This window comes from Homo sapiens, chromosome 10 (genome assembly GCF_000001405.40).
Source record: "Homo sapiens chromosome 10, GRCh38.p14 Primary Assembly".
NCBI classification, from domain to species: domain Eukaryota; kingdom Metazoa; phylum Chordata; class Mammalia; order Primates; family Hominidae; genus Homo; species Homo sapiens.
The window spans coordinates 21,464,312-21,475,879 of record NC_000010.11 but is presented as its reverse complement, the minus strand read 5'-3'; the positions used below and the strand labels follow the sequence as shown (position 1 = coordinate 21,475,879).

Genomic DNA, 11,568 nt, shown 5'->3' with positions numbered 1-11,568 from the left:
CCAGCCTGAGTGACAGGGCGAGACTGCGTCTCAAACAAAAAAAAATTATTTGTCTCAGTATACAACACCATTTTCCCCTGCTTGTTCACCCCTCATTGCCACACTCTTCATTCACACAATTTTTTTTAACAAGTTTATTTTTAGAGGTGGGGTCTTGCTATGTTGCCCAGGCTGGTCTCGAACTCCGGATCTCAAATGATCCTCCTACTCTGGTCTCCCAAAGTGCTGGAATGACAGGCTTGAGCTACGTGTCTGACCTCCAATCTGGTCTCTATGCCTCAGTCCAAATGATCTTTCAGAAGCTAAGATATGATCACATCACTCCCTTGTTTAAAACCCGTGAATGGCTCTCCATGTGTGCCGTGTAAACTAAACTGGATAAAAGCCCAGTTTAGTTTACATGGCACACAGACTCTTTATGATAGGGCCTTGTTTACTTTTTAGTCTCACAGCTTATCATACCTTCCCCTGACATTTTTTACTCCAGTCACTTCCCACCAAGATCCTTCCCCCGTCACCCAGGCTGGAGTGCAGTGGTGTGATCTTGGCTCACTGCAACCTCCGCTTCCCAGGTTCAATCGATTCTCCTGCCTCAGCCTCCCGAGTAGCTGGGATTACAGGCATGTGCCACCACGCCCGGCTAATTTTTGTAGTTTTGGTAGAGATGGGATTTCTCCATATTGGTCAGGTTGGTCTCGAACTCCTGACCTCAGGTGATCCACCCACCTTGGCCTCCGAAAGTGCTGGGATTACAGGTGTGAGCCACCGTGCTGGGCCTCACTCCCTCATCCTTTAACTCAGAAATCACTTCTGTGTGGCAGAGAAAATGCTATGTGTTCACCAAACCATTTCATTTCCTTCCTGGGACCCAGAAAACCTACATTACCCATTTCTCTTGCATCTTGGTGGGGCCATGTGGCTGGTTCTGGAGAATGGAATGTAAGTAAAAGTTGTGGGTTTGGCCAGGCACAGTGGCTCACGCCTGTAATCCCAAAACTTTGGGAGGCCAAGATGGGAGGATCACTTGAGGTCAGGAGTTTGAGACCAGCAACATGGCAAAACCCCGCCTCTACTAAAAATACAAAAGTTAGCTGGGTGTGGTGGCACATGCCTGTAATCCCAGCTACTCGTGAGGCTGAGGCAGGAGAATCACTTGAACCCGGGAGGCAGAGGTTGAGCCACGATCGCGCCACTGCACTCCAGCCTCGGCAACAGAGCGAGACTCCATCTCAACAACAACAATAACAAAAAAAAAAAAAAGAAAGAAAAAGAAAAGGAAATCTGCTGGTGCAGAACAAAAATATAAATATTTAATATTAATTAATTGTGTTAAATCATTGATATTTAGGATTCTTTGCTTTACCAACTGGCAATAAATGTCCTGATTAATGTACTTTGGGAAGTTTTTTCTATATTTCCTTTAGACTTGGTTGGATACCTCTCTATCTGTTTCCGAAGCACTCTGTACTTATCCTTTTTTTTTTTTTGTAGTGATGGGGTCTCGCTATGTTGCTCAGGTTCGTCTTGAACTCCTGGGTTCAAGCGATCCTCTTGCCTCAGCCTCTTAAAGTGCTGTGAATACAGGCATGAGCTACTGTGCCTGACCACAGAATCTCTCTTTTAAAACTGTCCATCACCCTCCAATTATTCCAGAATAATAGGGGCTTATTCAGTTCAAAGTGATCAGGTCTGCTCTCAAACATGAAGTAGCAAAAAAGCTGCAGAATTAAATAGTTCCTCAGTGTGCTCTGGTTTAGGGTTGCTGCTTTTTTTTTTTTTTTTTTTGAGATGGAGTCTCACTCTGTCGCCTGGGCTGGAGTGCAGTGGCATGATCTCAGCTCACTGCAAACTCCGGCTCCTGGGTTCAAGTGATTCTCCTGCCTCAGCCTCCTGAGTAGCTGGGATTATAGGCATGCACCACCATGCCTGGCTAATTTTTGTATTTTTAGTAAAGATGGGGTTTCCCACGTTGGTCAGGCTGGTCTCAAACTCCTGACCTCGTAATCCGCCCACCTCAGCCTCCCAAAGTGCTGGGATTACAGGTGTGAGGCACCGCGCCCGGCTGGGTTGCTGCTTCTTATATCATCACCTGGTGGTTATCACTGCTGAAGGGTGATTCAGCCCAGGCCCGGCCCCACTGCTACAATGATGGTACTGCTATTTCAGATCTCTGCAGATACCCACATACGGGCTCCCAGAGAATCTCTCTTCTACTTCACATTCATGTTCAATCATTATTCCCAAGATAGAACTGCTGGGACAAAGTAGCTGGATCCAGAGATCCAGAGAGGTTTGCCATCCTCAATTTCACACTCTGCAGGAGCGATTCCTCCCGTATGGCCTTCTAGGCCCTGGTCACCTGTGCAGAATTCTTCTCTGTCTCATGGTGAGTTTACTCCTTTGAAGACTTTGATGTCCTTTGTTTCCACCGGTTCTCAAGCCTTCTGAGTGGTTGCAAGGACATTCAATCTCAAAGAGAAGGGGCCAGGGTTTGTTTGCTTTCTTCCCAGGATGCTTCTTGGTCCCCATGCAGATTTACTCTTAGTGACTACCTCTGTATACCAAGCTTCGAGGGACAGACTTTGTCAGGTCACAAAAGGTCCTCTTATCCCTTCTCCCAGAGCAGTAGGTGCCTGTTCATCATATATTTACATAACTAAGGAAGGCCAGTCATCGATTTTCCCTGAACAAAAAGCAGATATATTCTAAAATGATTTTTTCTGTTCGGTGAAACCAATAGTTCTTAAACTTTTTGGTTTCAGCATCCCATTTCTACTCTTAAAAAAAACGAGCTTTGATTTTGTGAGTTCTATTTATCGATGTTTACTATATTAGAAATTAGAGAAACTTTAAAAATATATAATCATTAATTAATTTTAAAATAACAAAAACCCTATACATGTTAGCACAAATGACATGTATTTTATAAAAATAACTATTTATTCCAAAACAAAAAGGATTTAGTGAGAAGAAAGATGTTTCACATTTTTGCAAATTTCTTTTAATATTTGGTCTAATAAAAGACACCTGGGGCCGGGCGCGGTGGCTCATGCCTGTAATCCCAGCACTTTGGGAGGCCAAGGCGGGCGGATTACCTGAGGTTGGGAGTTCGAGACCAGCCCGACCAACGTGGAGAAACCCCGTCTCTACTAAAAATACAAAATTAGCCAGGTGCAGTGGTACATGCCTGTAATCCCAGCTACTAGGGAGGCTGAGGCAGGAGAATCACTTGAACCTGGGAGGCAGAGGTTGCGGTGAGCCAAGATCGCACTATTGCGCTCCAGCCTGGGCAACAAGAGCAAAACTCCGTCTCAAAAAAAAAAAAAAAAAAAAGAAAAAAAAGACACTTGGTTCTCATAGTTGCTTTTGCAATCAATCTGTTGCAATGTTATTTTGGTTGAAGTAGTTGAAGAAAATTCCACCTTACATAGACATAAAGCTGGAAAATAGAGGAGTATTTTAGTAGCATTTTTAGATAATCATAGGTATTATTCTTTGGTACCCTACCAAAACTTGACAAGTGGTAATTTCTTAAAAATGTAGTTGCAATGTAGAATCTGCATTCATATCAATGAACTTTTTGTATTCTGTTATATTAAAATTCATTGATTTATTTTGCCTTATAAATGGACCTTTTGCCCATACATAATTTTGTAACGTCATGCACTGGTCATGTGGAAAATATTGGTTCCCTGAATCATGCAGATCTTCCAAATATTGGCGCTTTTCATTACACAATATTAAAAGAATCACATTTGTTATTATCGCCATTGATCTCAGCAGAAAAGTTTTAAGTATTGGGAAGGTTTTAAGCTCACAGTGGCAGATTCAAGTTTTTGAAAATTCTAGCTTTTGCTTGAAAGCTCAAATTTTATTACTGGAAACCAACACTGTCAGCTGTATTCCTTAAAGTGATAGGTTCACTTCATTTAATGTTGAGACAATGTGCCAAACACTGAAGCCTAAATAATCATACATCTGTCAGTTGTTCTTGCAAGTAAAAATGGTGTTCCAGCTGAGTGTCGTGGTGCACACCTGTAATCCGAGCAATTTGGGAGGCTGAGGTGGGCAAATCACTTGAGCTCAGGAGTTCGAGGCCAGCCTGGGCAACTTGGTGAAACGCTGTCTCTACAAAAAAAGTAAAAATTATCTGGGTGTGGTGGCATGTGCCTATAGTCTCAGCTATTTGGGAGGATGAGATGGGAGGATTGCTTGAGCCTGGGAGGTCAAGGCTGCAGTGAGCTCTGATAGTGTCACTGCACTCCAGCCTGGGGGCCAGAGTGAGACCCTCTCTTAAGAAAAAAAAAAAAAAAAGAGGGAAGGGTCAGAGGGTGGGATGCTTTGAAAATGAGCTTTTGTAGGTAGAAAAAAGCTTCTCAGGCTGGGCACAGTGGCTCAAGCCTGTAATCCCAGCACTTCGGGAGGCTGAGGCAGGCAGATCATGATGTTAGGAGTTCAAGACCAGCCTGGCCAACATAGTGAAACCTTGTCTCTACTAAAAATACAAAAAATGAGCTGGGCGTGGTGGTGGGCACCTGTAATCCCAGCTACTCAGGAGGCTGGGGTAGGAGAATTGTTTGAACCCAGGAGGCAGAGGTTGCGGTGAGCCGAGATGGCACCACTACACTCCAGCCCGGGCAACAGTGTGAGACTCTGTCTTAAAAAAACAAAAAAGAAAGAAAAAAAGAAAAAAGCTTCCCAGGGCCAGGTGAGGTGGCTCATGCCTGTGATCCCAGCACTCTGGGAGGCTGACGCGGGTGGATCACTGGAGGTCAGGAGTTTGAGACCAGCCCGGCCAACATGGTGAAACCCAGTCTCTATTAAAAATACAAAAATTAGCCAGGCTTGTTGTGGGCACCTGTAATCCCAGCTACTCGGGAGGCTGAGGCAGGACAATTGCTTGAATTTAGGGTTCAGATGTTGCAGTGAGCTGAGATCGTGCTAACTGTACTCCAGCCTGGGTGACAGAGTGAGACGCCATCTCAAAATATATGTGTATATATATGTATATATAAAGAAAGAAGGCTGGGCACAGTGGCTCATGCCTGTAATTCCAGCACTTTGGGAGGCCTAGTCGAGCAGACCTAGACCAGGAGTTCGAGACCAGCCAGACCAACATGGTGAAACCCCATCTCTACTAAAAATACAAAAAAAAAAAAAAATTAGCCAGGTGTGGTGGCACGCACTTGAAATCCCAGCTACTCAGGAGGTGGAGGCAGGAAAATATCTTGAATCCAGGAGATGGAGGTTACAGTGAGCCGAGATTGCGCCACTGTACTCCAGCCTGGGCAACAGAGCAAGACTCCATCTTAAAAAAAATAAAAGGGAAAGAAAGAAAAGAAAGAAAAAAGCTTCACAAGATGATATGTGAGAGGGATTGAGAATTCAGCAGGTACAGGACATTGGAACAAGAGATGAGAAGAAAGTTGTTTTCTGTAGAATCCCCAGATACATAAAATTGGAGGGGATCCTAGGTGTCCTGTCATATATGAGATGGTATTTGGATCATCTGAATTCAAATATCATGGTATAGAATTGTATTAGGCCATTCTTGCATTGCTGTAAAGAAATACCTGCCGGGCACAGTGGCTTACGCCTGTAATCCCAGCACTTTGGGAGGCTGAGGCGGGTGGATCACTTGAAGTCCACATGAGCCTGGCCAACATGGTGAAACCTCGTCTGTACTAAAAATACAAAAATTAGCCAGGTGTGGTGGTGGGTGCTTGTAATCCCACCTACTAGGGAGGCTGAGGCAGGAGAATTGCTTGAACCCAGGCGGCAGAGGTTGCAGTGAGCCGAGATCGAGCCACTGCACTCCAGCCTGCGTGACAGAGTGAGATACTGTCTAAAAAAAAAAAAAAAGAAAGAAAGAAATAAGAAATACCTGAGACTGGGTAATACATATAAAAAAGAGGTTTCATTGGTTCATGACGCTACAGGTTGTACAGGAAGCATAGTGGCACCTGTGTCTGGGGAGGCCTTGGGAAGTTTCGAATCATGGTGGAAGGTGAAGGGGGAGCACGTGTCTCACATGGTGAAAGCAGGAGTGAGACGGAGAGTTGAGGAGAGGTGTCACACACTTTTAAATGACCAGAACTTGTGTGAACTCACTTACTATTGTGAGGGGAGCACCAAGGAGATGGTGCTAACCATTCATGAGAAATCCACCCCCATGGTCCAATCACCTCCCACCAGGCCCCACCTCCAATACTGGCGATTACAGTTTGACATGAGGTTTAGGTGGGGACTAATATAGAAACTATATCAGAATGAACCCTGCAGGATGGAGGATTGGCATCCAGGTGGCTGACCTCTGGGTTCCATTTTGGGATCCTGTCTAAAGCAGTTTTGAACTCTGGTGCCATACCCAGCTGTACGTTGGCTTCAGTCATCCCTCTAGAGCTGAGCCAAGAGTGCATCTTTGCTAGGAATACTACACTTAACCAACCGTTGTTAACAAATTCACCTGTACAGGATATTTTGGTTCTTGAAGGAGACTTCAAAGTCAGATAAATTTTTTTTTTTTTTGAGATGGAGTCTTGCTGTCTCCCAGATTGGAGTGCAGTGGCATGATCTCGGCTCACTGCAACCTCTGCCTCCTGGATTCAAGCAATTCTCCTACCTCAGCCTCCCAGATAGCTGGGATTACAAGTGTGTACCACTACACCAAGCTAATTTTTGTATTTTTAGTAGAGACGGGGTTTCACCATGTTGTTCAGGCTGGTCTCGAACTTCTGACCTCAGGCGATCTGCCTGAGACCTCCCAAAGAGCTGGGGTTACAGAGAATTCTTTTAAACTGCTTGAGATGATCCTTGAAGCAATAGTTTAAGAAAGGAGGTTTTAGGCTGGGCACAGTGGCTCTTGCCTGTTCAAGACCAGACCAGCCTGGCCAAGATGGTAAAACTCTGTCTCTACTAAAAATACAAAAATTAGCTGGGCGTGGTGGCACGCAGCTGTAATCCCAGCTACTCAGGAGGCTGAGGCAGAGAATTGCTTAAACTCGGGAGGTGGAGATTGTAGTGAGCCAAGATCGAGCCACTGCACTGTAGCCTGGGCGACAGAGTGAGACTTTCTCTCAAAAAAAAAAGAAAAGAAAAAAGAAAGGTTTTAGGCAGAAGGTATGCAGTATTGTGTGAACTTCCTGGAGTGGTCAAGACCAAAAAATTCATTGCAGAAATAGCAAGTGAGAGAGGATCACAGGTTCCTGGGCAGGCAGGCTTTGATTGGTCTTTTTTTTTTTTTTTTTTGAGAGACAGAGTCTTGCTCTGTTGCCCAGGTTGGAGTGCAGTGGTGCAGTGGTGCGATCTTGGCTCACTGCATCCTTCACCTCCCAGGCTCAAGTGACTCTCCTGCCTCAGCCTCCTGAGTTGCTGGGATTGTAGTTGTGCGCCACCATATCTGGATAATTTTTGTGTTTTTAGTAGAGGTGAGGTTTCACCATATTGGCCAGGCTGGTCTCAAACTCCTGGCCTCAAGTCATCCACTCACCTCAGCCTCCCAAAGTACTGGGATTACAGGTGTGAGCCACTGTGCCCGGCCTGATTGGTCCAGTGTTCTTACCCTGCTCCACTTGTTAGGAGAGGACTTCCTAGAGACTGGGTCTAGACTACGGGGCGAGCACCTAGTCTACAGTGGAGCCCCTGGAGGAGGCAGGAGGGATACTGCTAGAAACAGTGAATATGGAAGTAGGACAAATGTTGAGGACTTTGATTTTGTGACTTGGCCACACCACAGAGATGCCCCAGTAGTGGCAGATCTCTGGGAGACAGAAGTGAAGGACAGGGACTGAAGTCATGTATAGGCTTCAAAGCTTTAGATGCCTGGTGGCGTTGGCTGGTTGCTGGCACCACTTGGGTAAGCTGTTCTCTATTGTGGAGGTAGCTGGAACTCATACATCAAAAAAAAAAAAATTTTTTTTTTTTGAGACAGGGTCTTGCTCTATTGCCCAGGTTGGAATGTAGTAGTGTGATCATGGTTCACAGCAACCTCCAACTCCTGGGGTCAAGTGATCCTCCCACTTCAGCCCCCCTGAATAGCTAGGACCACAGGAATATGACACTGTACCCAGCTAATTTTTAAATTTTTTTGTAGAGATGGGGTCTGACTGTGTTGTCCAGGCTGGTCTTGAACTCCTGGGTCAAGGAATCCTCCTGCCGTGGCCTCTCAAAATGTTGGGATTACAGGTGTGAGCCATTGTGCCTGGCTCAAATTTTTTGATTGAGTACTAACTAGAAGGAGAAAAGACATCCCCATTCCTGTTACTAGTAGATAGAGTTTTGAAAAGAGCTCTAAGGAGGGCTTTGTAGGGAAAAACAGGCTTAATTAGAGCTAGCAACTGCTGCTACTGTTCACAGTGACAAGTAGCATATGTAGGAGGCAGGAATGAGAGTTGAGCCTAAGAATCCAGTGAAATCAAGATATCAGAATTGGAGGTCACTAGGAGAAATGCAAGTCCCCTCTTCTCCCCAAGAATCCTCGAAGATATTGGGAGGGACACTAGTTTTCCCTTGTATATAGGGTGGGAAAGTGAGTTATTTTAATACAGATTTTTTTTTCTGGCCAGGTGCTACCATTTGTGTGAGGAAAAAATAATGTGTAAACTTCTATGTTAAACTAATGTTTAATATCTCTTGAAGAATACTCAAGAAATTGATAACAGTGGTGGTTGGGAGCCACTAGGATTAGTGGCTCACACCTGTAATCCCAGCATTTTGGGAGGCCGAGGCAGGTGGATCACCTGAGGTCAGGAGTTCAAGATCAGCCTGACCAATAAGGTGAAACCCCGTCTCTACTAAAAATACAAAAATTACCTGGGTATGGTGGCCGGCACCTGTAGTCCCAGCTACTCGGGAGGCTGAGTCAGGAGAATTGCTTGAACCTGGGAGGCAGAGGTTTCAGTTAGTCGAGATTGTGCCACTGCATTCCAGCCTGGGCCACACAGCAAGACTCCATCTCAAAAAAAAATTTTTTTTTCTTTATTTCATTGTAAATATTTTCTTGCTTAAACAATTTTTTTTTTTTTTTTTGAGACAGGGTCTCACTCTGCCGCCCAGGCTGGAGTGCAGTGGCGTGATCTTGGCTCACTGCATGCTCCGCCTCCTGGGTTCATGCCGTTCTCCTGCCTCAGCCTCCCGAGTAGCTGGGACTACAGGCGCCTGCCACCATGCCCGGCTAATTTTTTGTATTTTTAGTAGTGACGGGATTTCACCGTGTTAGCCGGGATGGTCACGATCTCCTGACCTCGTGATCCGCCCACCTCGGTCTCCCAAAGTGCTGGGATTACAGGCGTGAGCCACCGCGCCTGGCCAACAATTCTTATGTAATTGCTTTTTTTTTGAGACGGAGTCTCGTTCTATTGGCAGGCTGGAGTGCAGTGGCTCGATCTCGGCTCACTGCAACCTTCACCTCCTGGATTCAAGCAATTATCCTGCCTCAGGCTCCCGCGTAACTGGGACTACAGGTGTGCGCCACCATGCCTGTCTAATTTTTGTATTTTTAGTAGAGACAGGGTTTCACCATGTTGGCCAGGATGGTGTAATTGGTTATTTTTAATGTTTATTTTATTTTGATATTTTATTTTATCTTGAGATGGGGTCTTGGTAGGTTGTCCAGGCTGGTCTCAATTTCTTAGGCTTAAGGGATCCTCCCACCTCACCCTTCCGAACTGCTGGGATTACAAGCACATGCCATCATGCCCAGCTCATTTTTTAAACCAACCTTAATTTTTAAACAGGTATTACACACACGGCATAAAATTCAAAATGTTCAAAAGGGCATATAATGAAAAATAAGCATCCTTTCCTCTTCAGTTTCCTAGCTATGAAGGTATCATTGTTATCTTTTTTTGTTTGTTTGTTTGTTTTTGAGACAGAGTCCTGCTGTGTCACCCAGGCTGGAGTGCAGTGGTTCGATCCCAGCATACTGCAATCTCTGCCTCCCGGGTTCAAGCAATTCTCCTGCCTCAGCCTCCGGAATAGCTGGGATTACAGGCACACACCACCAGGCCCAGCTAATTTTTGTAGTTTTAGTAGAGACGGGGTTTCACCACGTTGGCCAGGCTGATCTTGAACTCCTGACCTCAGGTGATCCACCTGCCTCCGCTTACCAAAGTGCTGAGATGACAGGTGTGAGCCACTAATCCTAGTGGCTCCCAGCCACCATTGTTATCAATTTCTTGAGTATTCTTCAAGAGATATTAAACATTTGTTTAACATAGAAGTTTACACATTATTTTTTCCTCACACAAATGGTAGCATACTTTGCATAACCTTCTGTATTTTTTTTTCATGTAATGGTATATGTTGGTTTTATCTTTCCATATTACTACAGATAGAGCCTCCTCCCCCACTTTTAATAGATTTTTGGCTGCATAGTATTTCATGTTTAGAAGTACCATGATTTACTTAACTTATCCTTCAAAAATAACTTTGCAAATGTGCCAATATGTTTATAGGATAAATCCCTAAGAGTAGAATTGCTAGATAAAATACACGTGTGCTTAAAATTTTAGTAGACATTCTCACATGACCCGCTTTACGGATTGTATTAATTTGCAGTTCCACAGGATAATTTTTTTTTTTTTTTTTTGAGACAAGGTCTTGCTCTGTTGCCCAGGCTGGAGTACAGTGATGCAATCATGGCTCACTGCAGTCTTGAGTCTTGACCTCCTGGGCTCAAGCAATCCTCCTGCCTTGGCCTCCTGCCTTAGCCTCCTGAGTAGCTGGGACTACAGGGATGTGCCACAACACCTGGCTTCCACAGGATATTTTAATCTTTTTTTTTTTTCTTTTTGAGACAGAGTCTCACTCTGTCACCCAGGCTGGAGCACAGTGGTGAGATCTCGGCTCACTGCAACCTCTGCCTCCTGGGTTCAAGCGATTCTCCTGCCTCAGCCTCCTGTGCACCTGGGATTACAGGCACACGCCACCATGCACCATGCCTGACTAATTTTTGTATTTTTAGTAGAGACAGCTTTTCACTGTGTTGGTAAGGCTGGTCTCAAACTCGTGATCCACCCGCCTGACCTTGTGATCCACCCGCCTCAGCCTCCCAAAGTGCTGGGATTACAGGTGTGAGCCACTGTGTGCTAGGATTACACGTGGGAGCCACTGTGCCCGGCCTGATATTTTAATCTTAAAGGATAGATTGACCCAAGATGACCTAAGAACGTGGGGGTCAGGCAGGCAGCTGATTTTTGGCTTACATACAAGTAACCTGCCTGTTTGGTATGGCTTTGAGATATTTCATATCTGTGGATGCCCTTGTTGGTTATTCCAGGTGGGTACTCTTCACTAGTTTCTTTGCCTGATTCCCTCTTCTGTCCACTCTCTTTTTTTTTTTTTTTTTTTAAGTCGGAGTCTCAATCTGTCACCCAGGCTGGGGTGCAATGGGGTGATCTCCGCTCACCGCAACCTCCACCACCCAGGTTCAAGCGATTGTCCTGCCTCAGCCTTCCAAAGTGCTGGGATTACAGGTGTGAGCCACTGTGCCCGGCCTTCTGTCCACTCTTTAAGCCTTTTTCTTTCCTGTTTTGTGTGTTTCCCTGGGTGACTGGATTCTTTTCTGTG

The 11,568-nt window shown here is 45.2% G+C and overlaps 2 annotated features.

Moving 5' to 3' along the window:
- Nucleotides 2,060-2,856: an enhancer, noted in NCBI's record as "OCT4-NANOG-H3K4me1 hESC enhancer chr10:21761953-21762749 (GRCh37/hg19 assembly coordinates)". NCBI's record gives its function as "activates a minimal SCP1, AML or CMV promoter by ChIP-STARR-seq in naive H9 embryonic stem cells {active_cell/tissue: H9 hESC(naive)}" and the evidence as "EXISTENCE:reporter gene assay evidence [ECO:0000049][PMID:30033119]".
- Nucleotides 4,159-4,353: a silencer, noted in NCBI's record as "fragment chr10:21760456-21760650 (GRCh37/hg19 assembly coordinates)". NCBI's record gives its function as "represses an EF-1alpha promoter that drives an FKBP-Casp9 reporter gene in an ReSE screen in K562 erythroleukemia cells {active_cell/tissue: K562}" and the evidence as "EXISTENCE:reporter gene assay evidence [ECO:0000049][PMID:32094911]".